Here is a 20,802-nt window from a genome sequence, read left to right as displayed (position 1 = left end):
AAAATCTTCCCATCTCAAGATCCTTAATTTGCATCTGCAAAGACCCCTTTACCATGAAGGTGATATATTCACAGGTCCTGGGGATTAGAACATGGACCTCTTTAGGAGGCTATTAGCCTCCAGCTGACCCTGCCCAGCCCTCCCACACCCACTGTCTACTCCCTAGCAGCACTGGCCCCTCTTTCAGGGCTGGAATACCAGGCTTCCTCCCAGCACAAGGCCTCTGCACACATTTCCCTCCCTGCACCCCCACACTGCCTCAGTAAGGTCCACTCACCCTTCAGATCAAAGCTCAACTGTTACTTTCCTGACACCACAGCCCAAGTCAAATCCTTGTTTTACACCCCCATAGAGCTGGCTTTCAGATAACTTATTTCCAAAAAGCATTTATTTGTGTAACTGGATGACTAAATGATCATCTCTACAATGATCAGAGATGATCAGAGTTAAAGTCTTTTTTACTTGTCATATTCTCGCTGTCTCATACAGTCCCTGGAACACACCTTGATAAATGTCAGTGGCTAAGTAGCCCAAACCTCCATAAATAGCCAAAGCCATAGTTGATCCGACTGCCCAGAGAAAAGCCCCAAATATATTATGATACCATGCATAAAGAAAGCAAAGAGAGTTTCACATATGAACTTAAAAGTATGAGAACAGACACTTCGAGTTTCAGGCATTCATTTGTAATCTAGCTAGTCCTAAAGAGTGGTAATCCATCCGGCACGCTACAGGCCCAGCACGCAGGGTGTGCCGGGCTGCTGCCTGTGCCCCTGGGCCAGTACGTGAGTGTGACAAGAAGGATCACATCACACAGAGTCATCTATAAACTAACTAATGTGCTTTCCAAACAGAAGTATTAGATGATGGCTCTCTTTCCACAATAACACATACGGCTACTTCCTACCTCCAAAGCTGCACAGTACTCTTCCTTTGTACAAAAGACCAAAGTCACCAATCCTCTGTTCACTGGCATATAGGAGATTCTTAAGACTTCCCATAGATTAAGTAACAATTCAATAAACATTCTTATACGTACAACTTTGTACTTTTCTTAGCATAAGTAGAAATTGGACCAGAGATAACATACACTGTGAATGCTCACTTCTGTTAATACACTGGGTTGTTCAGACAAATCTCCTTCCTGAGATCAACTAAAGATGTTAGATGAAATACACAAACCTCTCCTTAAAAGCACCAAAGGGCTGATGAAATAGCAAGGAGACATCAGGCCAAAGCCTGTGATGAGGCAAGAACACAGAAAGGGAGGCAAACAACCAAAGGCTGCTTTTACCTTAAGGTGATAGATCTAGCAGAAATTAACCAGAACAGAGCACACTGACCAAAAAAATGAAAAACACAAAACTAAATGAAAGAGTGGGCCATAGATGATGGCTCAGAATTTTCCTAGACTAATTAAAAGGTACTAATTGGTATAGTCAAGAAGCCTAAATCAATCCCAAGAATGATAAGGATTAATCTACTATTATGTATTGACTGTATTTCATACTTTTTAAAAGGCTAAAAAAGAAAGTGTTACTTGAACCCACATTTGTGCCCGACTCTGAGCACACTAATACGCAGGATGGCAGGACAGGAGGCAGAGCTTCTCAACTGAACTAGCAGAAATCTATGACAGATGACCTCTCATAAAGCAAAAAAAATCAAAAGATAACTTCTAGCATATGAATAGGGCCTGGTGCTAGTAAGATAATTTGCTCAGAAAAAAACTCCATACTCACAGAAAGTAACTAACGGTGAACTCTGAACAGTTGTACTCTTGGGAACTGGGAATTTAAGAAGGACCTTTTACTTTTTTATTTTATACATTTCTGCATTGTTTAAAATGTCATTTTAATATCTTTATTGTAAAAAAAAAAAAGTAGTTTTAATTAATAGCAAGGTAAGAAACCATTATTAGTCTTCCGAAGAACAGACTATTTAGGATGATCTCAGCTCACTGCAACCTCTGCCTCCCAGTTCAAGCGATTCTCTTGCCTCAGCCTCTCCAGTAGCTGGGACTACAGGCATGCACCACCATGCTCGGCTAATTTTTGTATTCGCCACTATATTTCTTAAAGGCTTCTAATAATTTTTTCTTTTTTTTGAGACGGAGTCTCACTCTGTTGCCAGGCTGGAATGCAGTGGCACGATCTTGGCTCACTGTAATCTCTGCCTCCCAGGTTCAAGTGATTCTCCTGCCTCAGCCTCCCATGTAGCTGAGATTACAGGCACACGCCACCACACCCAGCTAATTTTTGTATTTTTAGTAGAGACGGGGTTTTACCCTGTTGGTCAGGATGGTCTCAATCTCCTGACCTCGTGATCCACCTGCCTCGGCCTCCCAAAGTGCTGGGATTACAGGCATGAGCCACTGCGCCTGGCCTAATAATTATATATATATATATATATATATATATATATATATATATTTTTTTTTTTTTTTTTTTTTTTTTTTTTTTTTAAAGAGAGGGTCTCCGTATGTTGCCCAGGATGAACCTGAACTCCTAGCCTCAAGTGACCCTCTCACCTCAGCCTCCCGAGTAGCTGGGATTACAGATGTACACCACCACATCCAGCTAGTTTTTTTATTTTTTGTAGAGACAGAGTGTCACCATGTTGCCCAGGCTAGTGTTAAATTCCTGGCCTTAAGTGATCCTCCCACCTCAGCCTCCTGAGTAGCTGGAATTACAGGCATGCACTATGAACCTAATATTTTAGCATGTGAACCACTCATGCATCCTATCTAAAATATTTAAAGAGACCTGTTTACCTGGCCCACTGGTTGGTTGGACACTGCGACACACATCAAGCTCTTGTGCTTCGAGCTGTCTGTATTTGTTAATATACTCTACTTCTGAGCTCCTTTGGCTGAGTGACCTGAAAAGAATAGTAAAAGTTAGTATACTATTTCCAAAAAGCCAAGAAACCCTTGTGTACTAGACAAGTTTTTCACATTAAGTCACAGGAAAAAATGCAAATAGTCAATAAACAAATGAATATACACTCAAACTCAGTTACCAGGCAGATGCAAATTAAAACAATGACAAACCATTTTTTCACCCATCAAATTGGCAAAAAGAGCAAATATTTTCAGAATATTTATGAGGAGAGATACATTTATGGTAAATGGGTATGACCACTTATTCTGAAGGGTAGTTTGCAGTATCATTTTTTTGAGGCAAGGTCTCTCTCTGTCACCCAGGCTAGAGTACAGTGCTGTGATCATAGCTCACTGTAACCTCAACCTCCTAAGTTCAAGCAATCCTCCCACCTCAACCTCCTGAGTAGCTGAAATCAGCTAATTAAAACTTAAAACAGCCAGGCATGGTGGTTCACACCTGTAATCCCAGCACTTTGGGAGGCCAAGGCGGCTGGATCACTTTGTGCTCAGAAGTTCGAGACCAGCCTGGGCAACATGGTGAAACCCCATCTCTATAAAAAATATAGAAATGAGCCGGGTGTGGGCTCATGCCTGTGGTCCCAGCTACTCAGCAGGCTGGGGCTGGAGGATCCCTTGAGTCAGGAAGTGGAGGTTGCAGTGAGCCAAGATTATGCCACTGCACTCCAGCCTAGGCAACAAAGCGAGACCCTGTTTCAAAAAAAAAATAAACAGCCTAGGCACAGTGGCTCACGCCTGTAATCCCAGCACTTTGGGAGACCAAGGCGGGCGGATCACTTGAGGTCAGGAGTTCAAGACCAGCCTGGCCAACATGGTGAAACCCTGTCTCTACTAAAAATACAAAAATTAACTGGGTGTGGTGGCAGGTCCCTGTAATCCCAGCTACTCGAGAGGCTAAGGTAGCAGAATCACTTAAACCCAGGAGGCGGAGGTTGCAGTGAGCCAAGATGGTGCCACTGCACTCCAGCCTGGGCAACAGAGCCACATTCCATCTCAAAAAAAATAAATCAAATAAAAACTAAAAACTAACCAAAACTTAAAACACACGTCTCCTACAATCCAACTTTTCCTCAGAATCTTTGTTAAACATCAGCACATGTAAACGAAGCACGTGCAAAGACATGCATGGAAACATTCATTTGTTTAGCAAATACTTACTGAACACCTACTGCACAAAAGGCACTGTCTCCAACACTAAAGATATAGCAGGAAACAAAACAAAGTCCTTGCCCACATGAAACTACCATTCTTGTGAAGGAGACATAATAGATACGTAAGATGCTGATTAGAGATGTGGACAAAATTAAAATCGGGTGACGCTATTAAGGATTCCAGGGAGGAAGGGTATATTTTCATAATATTTGTAATAATTAAAACCTGAAAAACATGTCCAACAGGGGACAAGCTAAAACAATGGCATACCTTAGTTAATGTGTATCATTTTGAAAGTGTCATGGCTCTATTCATGCCAATAGATAAACATGTCCAGAATATTAAGTGAAAAAAGACAATTGTGATATGTATTATATGCTATCAACTATGTTTTCCTCATCAGTGTCTGGTTTAAATGCACTGTTGTCAAAGAGACTATATGATACTGATTCTTGAAATTTGAGACAAACTTTATGTAATGATTAATTTTATGTCAACTTGACTGGGCCAAGGGATGCCCAGATAGCTGGTAAAACATTTTTTCTGGCTGTGTCAGGGTGTTTCAGGAAGAGGTTAGCATTTGAATCAGTAGGCTGAGTAAAGAAGACCTGCCTCAGTAACATGGATGGGCATTACCGAGTCCACTGAGAGTCCACCCGGGCAGAACAAAAAGGATAAGGAAGGGTAAATACTCTCTTTTTGAACTGGGACATCCAGTCTCTCCTGCCCTGGGACACTAGAGTTCCTGATTCTCAGACCCTCAGGCTCCGAGATTCACACCAGCCATCTCCCATCCCAGGTTCTCAGGCTTTGTCTTGGATTGGGAGTTACAGCATCAGTTACCCTGGTTCCCAGGCCTTCAAATTCAGACTGAATTTCACCACCAACTTTCCTTCTTCTCCAGCTTGCAGAAGGTATATAGTGAGACGTCTCAGCCTCCATAATCACGTGCACCAAGTGTCATCACCAATCTCCCCCTCTTACAGATCTATATATATCTTATTAGTCCTGTTTCTCTGGAGAATCCTGTCTAATACACTTTAATAAAATGCTGTTTGCATCAAAGCCAACTTTTACCTGTTCCAAAATATCAGCATTCCTCTGGTTACTGTTTGCCTGACATTTACTCATTAATTCACTCAACAATAACAGTGTACCAGGTGCAGCTGAGAGAGTCAAGATGCCTGGGTGGCTCCCACAGGAGGGGGCGGGAAGAGGATGATGAGAAATGGAGGGTAGGGAGCAGAAGGGTATGGAGAAGAGCTGGAAGTATCAGGGAGGAGCTGGGAGTAATTATAAAGATTTTGGCTTTTGTTCTGAATAAGATGGGTTTTGAGCAGAGAGAGAAATAACAATATCTGACTTTTAGTTTAACAGCATGGCTCTGACCAGGTGAAGGGGAGCAGGTGATCATCTGAAAGAAAACATTTGCAGCAAAACTTTAATTCCTGGCTGGGCACGGTGGCTCACGCCTGTAATCCTAGCACTTTAGGAGGTCGAGGCGGGTGGATCACCTGAGGTCAGGAGTTTGAGACCAGCCTGGCCAACATGGTGAAACCTCATCTCTACTAAAAATACAAAATTTAGCCCAACGTGGTGGCGAGCACCTGTAATCCCAGCTACTCGGGAGACTGAGGCAGGAGAATTTGCCTGAAACCTAGAGGCAGAGGTTGCAGTACACCAAGATCGCACCACTGCACTCCAGCCTGGGCGACAGAGTGAGACTCTGTCTTTAAAAAAAAAAAAAAAAAAAAAAAAAAGAGAGAGAATTCCTATAAATCACTAAGATAAGAATGAAACGCATAGAAATGTGACTTTTAACTTTAAAAGGTAAATGCAGTAGTATTTTAATTAAAATACTGAAAAAAAGAAATTCAATATCAGTTTCTCCTTAAATATTAACTGCATTTTTTTCAATCTTTTTATTGTGGCAAATATATATAACATAAGGCCGAGCACAGTGGCTCATGCCTGTAATCCCAGCACTTTGGGAGGCCGAGGTGGGCGGATCACGAGGTCAAGAGATCAAGACCATCCTGGCTAACACGGTGAAACCCCGTCTCTACTAAAAATACAAAAAATTAGCCAGGGGTGGTGGCGGGCGCCTGTAGTCCCAGATACTCGGGAAGCTGAGGCAGGAAGATTGGCGTGAACCCGGGAGGCGGAGCTTGCAGTGAGCTGAGATCGCACCACTGCACTCCAGCCTGGGCGAACGAGCGAGACTCTGCCTCAAAAAAAAAAAAAAAAAAAAAAAAAAAAAAAAAAAAAATATATATATATATATATATATATATATATACACACACACGCACACACATATATACACATATATACACGTATATACATATATATATATACGTGTATATATATAACATAAAACTTGCCATCTTAACTACTTTTTTTAAAAAATATTTCCTTTTATGGCTGGGCATGGTGGCTCACGCCGGTAATCCCAGCACTTTGGGAGGCCGAGGCGGGCGGATCACAAGGTCAGGAGATCGAGACCACCCTGGCTAATAAGGTGAAACCCCGTCTCTACTAAAAATACAAAAAAAATTAGCCTGGCATGGTGGCGGGCGCCTGTGGTCCCAGCTACTCCGGAGGCTGAGGCAGGAGAACGGCGTGAACTCGGGAGGCGGAGCTTGCAGTGAGCCGAGATCACGCCACTGCACTCCAGCCTGGGCGACACAGCAAGACTCCGTCTCAAAAAAAAGAAAAGAAAAAAGAAAAAAAAAGAAATATTTCAGTTTATTTAAATTGTGAAGTAGAATATAAAACTGAATTAGTAGCTAGTACCAGAGAATGGACTTAACTGGTGTTTAATGAGAACAGCTTCTACACAGGATCCCAAGAGACTTACAGGAAAGGGGCAAAGCCCTAATATTAAGCAAATAAAATGTTTCAAACAGATTATACAAAAATTTATACTTCATTTCCCTTTTTTGATATTTAGAAAGTGCAGATTTAACAAAAGGTAGCCATATCCTTTCTATGTACAATGCCGATTATAATTATGCAAACTATCAGTGTGTTATCCAGAAGTCCCAGTGTTTAGCTCTCAAACCTTAAGTCATGGAATTAAGAATTAAAGGGGGTTAAAATAAAAAAGCTAATGACACATTCCAGATAAAGGGAAGCAACAAATACATTAATCTAACAACAGTAAGTTTAACCTGAACTTTTCAAAAAGCTTAACATCATTTTAGGGGAAAATCAGGGATTATTTGGCAATGCTGCTTTTTACTAGTAGTAAACAATGATAAAGTCAAGTGCAGGAATAACCTAACAACCAGTGAGGCATATAAAATTGTGTTTAGGGCACTCTCTGAAAAATTGATGGATTTTTTTTGTTGGTTTTTTAACAAGGAAAGATCTTTATTTGGGAATAAAGCATTGCGATGGGAATTACACATAGCACAGTAAATGATTTGTGTATTCAGGGAAGTAAAGAAAGACAAAGGTTTTAAAGGGAAAAATTAGTAGTACACAATTGTTCTGAAATAATTATCCTTGGCTACAAAGATCACAAACAGGGTGATGCTAGTCTGAAGCTGGTCAAGCAGTGGCTGGGCAGATGTCCTTGGAGAAATATTCTTTTAGAAAGGTTGTGATGGCCTTTGTGCAAGGTTGTGGGTTTTGTAGAGTCTTTTTTGTTATAAAACATACAAGTGTGAGACTCCTCTCTTCATGGCCTTCCCTGGCTCTGTTCGTCAGGGTTTTAACATTAATGACTCCATTTTGACTCTGACACATTTCACACATGCGGTTTTTGCTAAGCGTTTGATGAGCAAATAGATGAGGTACACAATATTTCATTCACATAGTGTATCTGGTCCATTATTTACTAGACTGAACCTCTAACATTCTCTCTAACCTCCCGTGATCAAATGTCACATTTCCATATCCTTCCATAATGCAGACTTCCAAGTCCTAGACCTGGCGTCATCTTCCTGTGTTCTTCATAAGAAGATTAGTTTCTAAATTCAAGATTAAATTGCTCAGCACAATAACTGACAAAGAAAATACCTCCTGGAACCAAATACATAGTTTAATCATTGTGGTGGAAGAAGGGACATTTATTTGATTATGAAATAGAAACCGGCCGTATGCGGTGGCTCATGCCTGTAATCCCAGCACTTTGGGAGGCTGAGGCAGTTGGATCACCTGAGGTCGGGAGTTCAAGCCCAGCCTAACCAACATGGAGAAACCCTGTCTCTACTAAAAATAACAAAATTAGCCAGGCATGGTGGCACGTGCCTATAATCCCAGCTACTAGGGAGGCTGAGGCAGGAGAATCGCTTGAACCTGGGAGGCGGAGGTTGCGGTGAGCTGAGATTGCGCCACGGCACTCCAGCCTGGGCAACAAGAGCGAAACTCCATCAAAAAAAAAAAAAAAAAAGGAAGGAAGGAAAGAGGGCAGGGCCCATCAAAAGAAAAAAAAAAAGGGAAGGAAGGAAACAGAAGAGGGCAGGGCAGGGCAGGGCAGGGCCTGATTTGTTTAAATTGGCAAAGCTGGCCGGGCATGGTGGCTCATGCCTGTAATCCCAGCACTTTGGGAGGACGAGGCGGGCGGATCACCTGAGGTCGGGAGTTCGAGACCAAAATGTTGAAACCCCGTCTCTACTAAAAATACAAAAATTAGCCAGGTGCAGTGGTGGGGCGGGCGCCTGTAATCCCAGCTACTCGGGAGGCTGAGGCAGGAGAATCACTTGAACCTGGGAGGCGGATGTTGCAGTGAGCCGAGATCCTGCCATGGCACTCCAGCATGGGCGACTGAGTGAGACCCTGTTTCAAAAATAAAATAAAATAAATTGGCAAAGCCAGCGTTTAGAGCTTCTGTGTCTTCATGAGTCATAACCTTCAAAGTTATTGTTGCAATCACAAATATATGAGGTTGACCATTGTGTTATGCATATTGCACGACTCCCTGGGTGGCATAACCAGAAGCAGTAAGAACATACATGAAATTGTTTATAATCAGAGGTCAAAGTAGAACTAAAATCAGGACTTGAACTGACTATATTTTGGATTGTTTTTGTTTGGAGGATTTACTCCCCTGAAAAACACTTCAATCTGCCAACTTCTACAAAGAATTCTTCTACTAGCAAAATGAATTACACATTGCAAGACATCATCATATAATCTCATCTAGACCCCTGCTTCATGGATTTTCATAGCAGATACATCCCTGTTGTTTGCTTATGTGAGCCAAGAGGTCATTAAAATGCTATTCATGACACAGAAAGACTTCTCAATGGAAGCTGCTGTCCTAAACTTAGCCTCTGCTAGAAATGAATCATGCTATTCACAATTCTTTCAACAAAGGTATCCTCCATCTTAACTATTTTTAAGTGTACAGTTCAGTGGTATTAAATACATTCATGTTATGCAACCTTCACCACCATCCATCTCCAGAAATCTTCATCTTGTAAAACAATCTCTGTACCCATTAAACAATAACTCCCCATTTCCCTCTATTCCTAGCCACCAACAAATACCATTCTACTTTCTGGCCCTATGATATTGACTCCTTTAGGGAATCTCATATAAGTGGAATCACAGAGTATTTGTCCTTTCAAGGATTTTTTTTTTTTTTTTTTTGAGATGGAGTCTCACTCTGTCACAGGGTCTTGCTCTGTTGCCCAAGCTGGAGTGCAGTGGTGCAATTATAGCTCACTGCAGCCTTAAACTTCTGGGCTCATGCAATCCTCCCATCTCAGCCTCCTAAGTAGAAGGAACTACAGGCACACTCCATAGTGCCTGGCTAAAGTATCTGTCCTTTTGTGACTGGCTTATTTAGCATAATGTCCTCAAGGTTCATCTATGTCAGAGCGTATGTCAGAATTTTCTTCCTTTTCAAGGCTGAGTAATACTCCTTTCTATGGATATGGACACTCAGGTTGCTTCCACGTTTTAGCTATTGTGAATAATGATGTTATGAACACAGGTGTACAAACATCTCTTCAAGGTCTTCCTTTAAACTTTTCTGGGTATATACCCAAAAGTGAAATTGCTGGATCATATAGTAATTCTATTTTTAATTTTTTGAAGATCCACCATACTGTTTTCCACAGCAGCCCCACCATTTTACATTCTCACCAACAGTACACAGGGGTTCCAATTTCTCCACATCCTCACCAACTCCTGTTTTGCCAATTTTGAATCAACTTTTTTGCCGGGTGCAATGACTCATGCCTATACTCCCAGCACTTTGGGAGGTGAAGGTGGGAGGATCACTTGAAACCAGGAGTTCAAGACCAGCCTGAGCAACATAGTAAGACCCTGTCTCTACAAAAAATAAAAAAAAAAAATAGCAGGCACGCTGCTGCACACCTATAGTCCCAACTACTTGGAAGGCTGAGGCAGAAGGATCCCTTAAGCCTAGGAGGTCGAGACTGCAGTGAGCTATGATTGCACCACTGCACTCCAGCCTAGGCAACAGAGTGAGACCCTCCCTCTTAAAAAAATAAAAATCTGTTTTTTTCTTGTTGCATTTTGGGAAATCTCTATACATTCTATGTATTAATCCCTTTTCAGATACATGATTTGCAAATATTTCTCCATCTTGTGAGCTGCCTTTTTACTGTTCAGTTTTTTGATATACAAATCTTTCAAGTCCAATTTGTCTTTCTTCTTTTGTTGCCTGTGCCTTTGGTGTCATATCCAAGAAATTATTGCCACATACGATGTGAAGTTTGTGCCCTCAGTTTTCCCCTAAGGGTTTTGCAGTTTTAGGTCTTACTTTTGAGCTTTAATCCATTTCAACTTAATTTTTGTATATGGTGTAAAGTAGTAATCCAATTTCATTTTTTTGCCTGTGGATTTCCACTATTCTCAGCATCATTTGCTGAAAAGACTGTCCTGGCCAGGCACGGTGGCTCATGCCTGTAATCCCAGCACTTTGGGAGGCCAAGGCGGGTGGATCACGAGGTCAGGAGATCCAGACCATCTGGCAAACACGGTGAAACCCCATCTCTACTAAAAATACAAAAAAATTAGCCGGGCGTGGTGGCGGGCGCCTGTAGTCCCAGCTACTCGGGAGGCTAAGGCAGGAGAATGGCATGAACCTGGGGGACAGAGCTTGCAGTGAGTAGAAATCGCCACTGCACTTCAGCCTGGGCGACAGAGAGAGACTCCATCTAAAAAAACAAAAAAAAACAAAAAAACAAAAAAAACAAAACAAACAAACAAACAAAAAAAACAAACTGTCCTTTTCCCCTTAATTGGTGTTGGCACCCTTACTGAAAATTATTGACCATGTATGTGAGGGTTTATTTCTGGGCTCTCTACTCCATTGGTCTATGCGTCTTTATGCCAATACCATACTGTTTTGATGATTGTAGCTTTGTAGTAATTTAAAAATCAGGAAATGTGAGTCTTCCAGCTTTGTACTTCTTTTTCAAGATTGTTTTGACTATTCAGGGTTCCTTGACATTCCATATGAATTTCAGGATGGATTTTTCCATTTATGAAAAAAAAGTCATTAGGATTTTGGCAGAGATTGCATTGAATCTGTAGATCACATCGTGTAGTACTGACATTTTAACAATATTGTCTTCCAATCCATGAATAGAGGATGTATTTCCATTTACTTATGTTTTTAATTTCTTTCAGCAATGTTTTGCACTTCTCATTGTCCAGACTTTCACTTCTTTGGTTAATCCCTGAGTATTTTATTCTTTTTGATGCTATTACCAATAGAATAGTTTTGTAATTTCCTTTTTAGATTGTTCATTGTTAGGGTATAGAAATGAGACTGAATTTTGTGTGTTAACTTTGTAGACTGCTACTTTGCTGAATTCAATTATTAGTTCTGACAGGTTTTTGTGGAATCTTTAGGGGTTTCTACATATAAAATTATATCATCTGCAAACAGAGATAATGTTACTTCTTCCTTTGTAATTTGGATGCATTTTATTTCTTAATCTTCCTTGATTGCTCTGGCTAGAAATTCTAGTACTAAGTTAAGTAAAAGTGGTGAAAGGCGGCAACCTCACCTTGTTCCTGATCTTAGAGGAAAAGCTTTCAATCTTCCATTGAGTATGATGTTAGCTGTGGGCTTTTCACATATGGCTTTTATTATGCTAGTAGTTTCCTTCTATTTCTAGTTTGTTGAGAGTTTTTAATATGAACAACTCCACAGAAATGTACTTTTTACCTTAAGAAAAATGAATCAATAACCCAGAACTTTTAATTCAGTAGCAAAATGAATTAAAAACAGGTTGGGCACAGTGGCTCATGCCTATAATCCCAGCACACTGGGAGGCTGAGGTGGGAGGATTGCTTGTACCCAGGAGTTCAGGACCAGCCTGGGCAACATGGTGAGTGAGACCCAGTCTCCACCAAACATTTAAAAATTAGTCAGGCATGGTGGCACGTGCCTATAGTCCCAGCTACTTGAGAGGCTGAGGTGGGAGAATCTCTTGAGCCCAGGAGGCTGAGGCTGCAGTGAGCTATGACCATGCCACTGTACTCTAGCCTAGGTGAGCAATACCTTGTCTCAAAAAAAGAAAAAAAAAAACAGAAAGATATGAGTCTTCCCACAATGAAAAATCCTTCTTTGATTGCAATCAAGTGCTGTTGAATACTATATAAAGCAGCCCTGATTGTAATATATAAAAAGTTATGTCTGGCTCCTTAGCTTGCTTTTCAAGGTTCCAAAATTTTGTCTTTCTAAACTTTTCTTTTTATGTACTTCCTTACAGATCTTAAAATTTTACATAGACACACATATATTATGCATGATACGGTCCTATTTCATTTTAAGTCTTATAAAATTTAATACTTAGCTAACAAGGTGTAAACTAGAAAACTATGACAATGACCAAAAAGCAAAGGACCTAACAGCTTAAGCTTTATGTCGTCCACACAAAATATCCTAGGAAGTTTGCAATTCATCAGAAACAATTCATTTTTTCAACTCATTATAATGTAAGATAAATACAATCCAAGATACTTCCTTACCTTTGCTTACAAATATTTATGTTCTCTATCTACACAGCAGTAGAAGAAATACTGTAATCAGAGAATTATTTGGGTCTCTACTTCAATCTGATAATCTCAGGAGACAGGACAAAATAAAATCTGTAAGGCAAGTAGCACACACTAAGTACTAGAAAAATTGGTTTACACAATTAACTTCAAAGGAAGGTATACTCAATGTGAGTTAAGGTGGTAAGAAAAGTTCTGAAAAGGTCTTTGGTAATGGTTTCAATGGCAAGAAAGGTGTCAAACAAGTAAGTGGAGAAGGAAGATTGCCTTCAAGAAGCTCTTCCAGTGGCTAGCTCATTGATCTCTAAATCTCTGTTAAAAGGATACCTCCTACCCAAAAAGGTCTTCTCTGACCTCCAGTTCTAAGTGGGAGAAGTGTTCCAAGTATATTAATAGATTATGACCATCTATAATTACCTTACTGATTTGTGTACTTATATTTGTCTTCACATTTGGAGGCTGGCTCCTTGGGAGTAGGAACTAGGTCTTTCTTGTTCACTGCTACACCCCAGCCCCTAACTATTCAGGCCCTGGCAGACAGTCAATAGATATCTGTTAAGTGACTGAAAGCCAGCAATTACAGTAGAGGACACAGCAGGATCTAATTGGAAAGCATTAGGAAAAAGGGAAAAGAAGCCGGGCACGGTGGCTCACGCCTGTAATCCCAGCACTTTGGGAGGCCAAGACGAACAGATCACTTGAAGTCAGGAGTTCAAGACCAGCTGGCCAACATGGCAAAACCCCATCTCTACTAAAAATACAAAAATTAGCTGAGTGTGGTGGTGCACGCCTGTAATCCCAGCTACGAGGGAGGCTGAGGCACAAGAATCACTTGAACTCAGGAGGCAGAGGTTGCAGTGAGCCAAGATCACGCCACTGCACTCCAGCCTGGGCGACAGAGCAAGACTCCATCTCAAAAAAAAAAGGGTGGGGGGCGGGGTGGAGAGAGAACAGAAACACAGACCAAACCAGTCTTTCTATAAGTTTAACAGTGAAGATAAATAAAATCAGAGTTCAAAGGAAAAGAAGGGCCAAGGAAGATGTTCACATTGACCCTCAGGTTGAAGGAAAAAATCAGTTGGTATTTGAGCTGGTCCATGAAAAAGAGAATTACTATGTGGATACATGAAAAACACAAAGAAGCAGCTTTTCAGAAGAGAAAAAACAGTTGAACCAAAGCTGAAGGATCAGAAGTAAGCATGGCAAGCGTCAGGGGGCAACGTGGCCTGGCTGAAACAAAAGGTGTGCTCTAGGGTCGAGCAAGAAAGCAAGCCAGGTAAGGAGGGATAACGTAAGACTGTAGAGGGCCTTGAAGGAGGGATAATGTGAGACTGCAGAGGGCCTTGAACAGAAATTTGGCTTAAGTTCCATATCCAATATGTTCTGATATTTTTGTTACCATTTCAGAGGAAAAAAATTTATGCAGTAACAAGGAGGTTATTCAAAGGAGTATGCGGCAAGATTCGCTGTAATTTTAGTATAAAATTTGGTAGGACACTTCTGTCATCATAAACTTTACTCCTTTCCTTCTCCTAACAGTATATGCAATGTCATGTGAAAACCTTCCAGTTGACAATAATCAGTCCTGACATCTGGCTTTTTCTAACATCTAAGCAACAGGAGCTGTAGGGTGGCCACACACGTCACTCTGGGTCATGCATGACATGCAAGTCTGATGTAAACAACGTCTACTCTTCATGGCTCACTTGAAAGGAAAAGCAACAGAAGAAACAAATACTATAAAAGGGAAAACCACTATGCAGTCGTTTCACAGAGAACTGGGGAGTAAAAGACCTTTTATACTATCTACTCTTTAGCAAAAGACAAACACTTGCATAGGAAATTAGCACAGGCCAGCGCAGTGGCTCATGCCTGTAATCCCAGCACTTTGGGAGGCTGAGGCAGGTGGATTACTTGAGCCCAGTTTACGGACCAGCCTGGGCAACACAGGGAGACCTTATTTCTACAAAAAAAAAAAAAAAAGAAATGTATGTGTGTGTGTATATATGTGTGTATTATATATGTGTGTATATTTATATATACATATATAATACATATACATATGCGTATATATACTTATGTGTATATATACATATATGTACATATATAAAATACATACACATATGTACATATATAAAACATATATGTATGTACATATGTGCGTGTGTATATATTTTTTTAAACTAGCCAGGCATGCCGTAGCATGCACCTGTGGTGGCATGCACCTATGGTCCTGGCTATTCAGGGGGCTGAGGTGGGAGGATCACTTGAGCCCAGGAGGTCGAGGCTACAGTGAGCCGTGATCATGCCACTGCACTACAGCCTGGGTGACACAACGTGACTCTGTCTCAAAAAAAAGAAAGAAAGAAAAAAGAAATAGCACAATAATGACCATTACAAACCAATATGCACCTAAATAGTAAATATAAGTTTTTCATCCTCAGCTCCAAAAAAAAAACACGAAAATGATTTTTCTACGATGAATTATAAGATTTTGTTTAGAATTTTGTATGTTCTTATGCCTCTATTTTTCCCTGACAACCAATTACTGCCTTATTACCATATTTTCAGAGATTATAAAGTATATTTTAAAGTTATCTAGCTGTTTATTATGTCCCCTAGCATTTCAACTTGCTTAAATATACAAATTTAACTATTTTGAAAAAACCAAAATGAATACAAAATGTAACATTTGCTAAATATTTCACAATTATAATTCACATCAGCATTCTTTACCTATTTCACTCAATTACAATGAGTTTTCTCAGAATGTATGTTTTGCAAATAGTCAAGTCTAATCTATTTTTCCTGTTTTCACTAGAGGGGACAGTGACCCGGCTTCCAAATGGCCTGAAAGTTAAGCTGAAGAATAAAAGCAACGTGGCTATTTTTAGAGCTCTACAGGCATAAAAATACAGCACTAAACTGTGACCTACAGCTATGCACAGCAAAGCATCACATCACGCGACAGTCTTCACTCTAGCTCGGAGCGCATCTATGGTGCTTTAGACGACCATTCTTCGTTTCACTACCAAAGACATGTCGGAATGCATTTAGGACCAGCATCTATAGCTGCTGGCATTTTTTTCAAATAGACTGAGCTACATTGAAAAGGCAGACCATTATATAACTTGTGAAGATTAAATAGTCAGTTATTTTTGTCATTTCTTCTAGCTTACTTACAAGGTGAATTAATGAGCATTCTCTCCAAATGAAGACATCACAGCCTCATTCCTAACACAGAAAGTTATTTATTTCAAATACAGTTTCGGTGGGTAAATAAGGTGGCGCATTCCTTCTACAGAGGACACACCTAGGAGAGCAAGATACGTCCCAGTGAAACACAGCTTCGTCACCAACTTCAGTCAACTCTTTGGCAACATCACATCAGCCCATCAACTTAACAGGTAAGCTTTAAACCTTTTCTGTCCAAAACATAAATCAAAAGTATCTGTAGGCAGCACTTGCCCCGACATTAATATTTTAAGTCTCTTAAGAACTTTTCACAGCAAGTGTTAGTGTTATTTTCGGATATCATTCAGTCTATATGTTATCTCTGACTTTGTATATCTAATTTCTGCTAAGCTACATAAAAGCATTTTCAAAGCTTGGTTTCTGCCACTGACCTAGTTAAAAATTAAGACGTTAATCCATGTTCTAATCTTATTTTGACCTGCATAGCTAAATGTGAAAAAAAATCGTGCACTTTTCGGGCAAATTTATTGTAAAGAAACAAATATTTGCTCAGAAGAACATAACATTTTGAGCAAATAAACAAGTGAAAATATTTCCATAGGCTAAAAATGCCACTTTTTGGCTGGATGAAATGGCCCAAAAACGATTCCTACAAACCCACACACTATCCTGGCTCAGACATAGTGACAAAGACTCTGCTTCGGGAATTAAAATGGCACCTAAAGGAGCGAGAGAGATTAATACAAGAAATCGAAAATGAACAAAAAGTGAAAAAAACAGGTGTGGATTACAACTGGCTCAGAAACTACCAGAATCCCCACACAACTATCCCAGTGACTGAACAAAGACAACTTGAAGTTCTTTGCTCACAAGTTCAACCTTGCCAAACTGGAACTATTCTCAGCAGGTAAAAATACTATGTTCTCTTATGATTCCTGCTACTGCTAAGTCCAAGTTCCTCATATATTTTGACTAGAAACTGTATTCTATCATGTAAATTCTTTAACTGTGTAGATGTCTGGTGAGCAATTGTTTTAAATTACATTTAAAATTTCTTTACTAGAAGCATAATTTTAAAACAACATGCAAAATACTCAAAAGGTGGGTAACTTGTATACATTATTCAAGCTGTATTTTGGAGATAAAGAGATATAACAAAAAATGTTCTAAACTGAATATTCATTACCATTTCCCCTCTAGATTTCGAGAAGTTTTGGCAGAAAATGATGTACTGCCATGGGAAATAGTCTACATCTTCAAGCAAGTTCTGAAAGACTTCCTAAGCAGCTCTGACAGAGGGAGTGAGCAAGAGGACCTGGAGGACTCAGGGAGCATGGACTGCTCTGCTCCTTCTGTGATCCAAGGTGACAGCTCCAAGAGGGCAGACAAAGATGAAATACCCACCATTTCCAGTTACGTAGACAAAAACACAAAGGACAGGTTCCCAGTGTTCTCACACAGAATATGGAACCTACCATATTATCACCCATCTAGTTAAGTTACTTACAACTAGAGGGGTTTTTATGAACACCTTAGAACTCCTAATATTAAGAATAAGAAAAAGTGATGTGACTTCAAGTTTTTCTTTGTTACAAGGTCAGTATCCTGTGGATGTAGCCTATGTTTTAAATAGTGTTCTTTTTTTAACCACTCTAAACATGCTATGTTTTCATTGAATAGTATGCTTTTAACTAAAATGTTTCCTAAGTATTTTGAAAAAATGTTTGCAGTATTTTCTTATACCTCAAACCCACCTCACAGGAACTAAAGCAACTTTAGTATGAAGTCTGACAAATTCTGTACAAAACTTAGATATTAACCTTGACTTTTATTCTACAATGAAGCTACATATAGAATTAAATAAATTATTAATACGAATCCTATCTTTACAACATAACAGAAATGAGAAGTCAACATCCCATTATACGATCATTCTCAGCAGGGGATGGGGAGAAGGGCGGTGAGGGAAAAAATATCATGCAGTTTAAAAATGAAGCAGGGCTTTAACCCAACGCTCAGCTTTGGTTTTAATCACAGTACTTTTAAGCTCAACATTAAGGGAACGTGTAATAAAACTCAGCTCTATCAGTAAAGATAAATAGACTGATTTAGCAACATGAGTAGCTGCTACTCTCAAAGAAAAACATTCACTGTTGGTGAATAATTTAAACTTATACTCTGGTGAAATAGCAAAATATTTAATATACAAAATCTGGCTTTTCATAACTTTATTAAAAGTAGGAAATTATACATTAGTCAGATTTTTTTTATAAAGTGATACAATTCATTCTTAAAGTTAAGTCCAAGGAACCTAATTATAACTTTATATTTGAAGATTTACTGGTTTTCTTTCATCTAAAAAGAAAAAAATATACGTATCAAAATTGGAACTAGCTGGGTGTGGTGGCACATACCTGTAGTCCCAGCTACTCAGGAGGTTGAAGCAGGAAGCTCACTGGAGCCCAGGAGTTAAAGGCTGCAGTGAGCTATGATCACACCACTGCACTCCAATCTGGGCAACAGAGAAAGACCTTGTCTCAAAAAAAAAAAAAAAAAAAAACACTTTTTTTCAAAAAGACTAGAACTAAATATACACCACAAAAAAAAAAAAAAAAAAAAAAAAAAACCCTCCTAACTTTATTCTCCCTGCGTTCTTGGCCAACTTGTGTACCATTTTCAACTGACCTCTATTTGGTCTTAAATCCCAATCACGTAATGCAACCCACCTGATCAGGGTTTAACAGGACAAACACAGTCCCAAGCAGATTTAAAATAAAGACACCTCTCATTCCTGCTCTGAGATTTTCAGTTTTCCTACATACTACCTTTGGCTTCTTCAGTCACTGTAAGATTTCCTAGAGTGGAAACTGTGTGTGGGAGAGATAAATGCCCCGAAAAGTACACAACTGCTTATTGTGCAGTGAATACAGTAAGTAGCAAACGTGAGTTTTAAGAAAATATCAGTGCCTTAATGGTGAGAACAAAATTTTCATTTAAAGAAACAAGGAGAACGTGAAGTTTGTATATGAAGCCCGGTACTAGAATTGGTCATCCCACCATACATACCAGGAAATATATGCCATGAAGAGATGCAAATCATTTCCTTCACTCTCCAAGGCTCCTCAAGCAGCCACTGGACAACACCATACCACTTCCAAGAGAGGGTCATCCTCTGTATTCAGACAGGGAGAAATAACTCCCGGCAAAAAGCTTCTGGTGACTGAAGCAGCTATGGACAGTTCAGGATGAAAACGAATCCTAGCCACTCTAAGTCACCCACATGCAATTAATTAATTTTCCACCCAAGCTTGAAAAAAGAAAGGAAAAATATATTAAGTTTTGAGTTTCCATCTCTCACTTTGTTGTTGGCAAACCTAATACTCATATCCTGTGAGGGTATTGGTATACGTCATTTAAAACTGTAGTTATTTCTGGAAAACCTATAAATCAAATAGAAATTTTAATACAAATAACTTCCTGAATAGTGACAGATCCATGTTTTTATACACTAGGCTATTTATAATACCTAAAGCTGGCAAAGGAATCAGGATTGAAAATATAAAGGGGGGCCGGGCACGGTGGCTCACGCCTGTAATCCCAGCACTTTGGGAGGCCGAGGCGGGCGAATCACAAGGTCAAGAGATTGAGACCATCCTGGCCAACATAGAGAAACCCCATCTCTACTAAAAATATAAAAATTAGCTGGGCATGGTAGCTGGCGCCTGTAGTCCCAGCTACTTGGGAGGCTGAGGCAGGAGAATGGCATGAACCCGGGAGGCAGAGGTTGCAGTGAGCCAAGATCACGCCATTGCACTCCAGCCTGCGCAACAGAGCGAGACACCATCTCAAAAAAAAAAAAAAAATATATATATATATATATATATATATACACACACACACACACACACACACACACACACATATATGGGGCACAGGTGGGAAGGGGACGACTGGAATGTTTCAGGTGTGTTTTATCAAGAAAAAGCAGCATTCGTTCAGGAGCTACAATATTTAGCTAGGGAATAGAAAGAATAAATGAATCCACATAAAAGCATTCTGCACAATCCCCGACATATAATAGGCTCTCGAGGTAGCATTACTAGCCAGCCCAATCCATTTAATAATATTAAAGTAATTCTCTTACACACCAGGCACATACTAAGCACTACGAGTGCATTCTCATTTCATCGTAACCTTATAAAGTAGGTGATACTATCCCCATATGACAGATGAGCAAACTGCCTCAGATACGTCCAATGGCTTGCTCATTGGCAGAGAGGAGATTCACATCCAGGCTGCCGTGTCCCTTCCCCAACTGAGCTCTGAGCTCCAAATGCACAGAACCAATTGCCTGTGACACCTCCTCTTGGATGCTCACAGGCAACTTAAAATCAACATGTTCATCCTTCAGTATACTCCATTCAAAAAAGAAAATTAAAAAAAAAAGAAAATCAACATGTTCAAAACCAAAGTCATAGAGAATTTTTTGTGTTCTAAAGGAACAAACAGAATTCAAGAAAGGAACCAGCTAGTACCAATACACACACACACCCTCTAAAAGC

At 39.9% G+C, this 20,802-nt stretch overlaps 2 protein-coding genes across 12 annotated transcripts in view; one reads left to right on the top strand and one right to left on the bottom strand.

Moving 5' to 3' along the window:
• TDRD9 (tudor domain containing 9) overlaps positions 1–20,802 on the bottom strand; it is a 124,212-nt gene that overhangs the window by 94,124 nt on the left and 9,286 nt on the right. For all 11 annotated transcript variants that reach the window (XM_006720019.4, NM_153046.3, XM_005267309.5 and 8 more), the window contains exon 2: positions 2,774–2,880. In XM_006720019.4, the coding sequence (XP_006720082.1) occupies positions 2,774–2,880 (107 nt within the window). The remainder of the gene's footprint in view (positions 1–2,773; positions 2,881–20,802) is intronic.
• Positions 16,015–18,118, top strand: RD3L (RD3 like). The gene is made up of 3 exons (NM_001257268.2): positions 16,015–16,452; positions 16,842–17,147; positions 17,441–18,118. The coding sequence occupies exons 2-3, from the start codon at positions 16,849–16,851 to the stop codon at positions 17,736–17,738; spliced, it is 597 nt and encodes a 198-aa protein (NP_001244197.1). The 5' UTR covers positions 16,015–16,452; positions 16,842–16,848; the 3' UTR covers positions 17,739–18,118.

The sequence above is a fragment of the Homo sapiens genome, chromosome 14 (assembly GCF_000001405.40).
Source record: "Homo sapiens chromosome 14, GRCh38.p14 Primary Assembly".
NCBI classification, from domain to species: Eukaryota; Metazoa; Chordata; class Mammalia; order Primates; family Hominidae; genus Homo; species Homo sapiens.
This window is presented reverse-complemented; position numbering and strand designations above follow the sequence as displayed.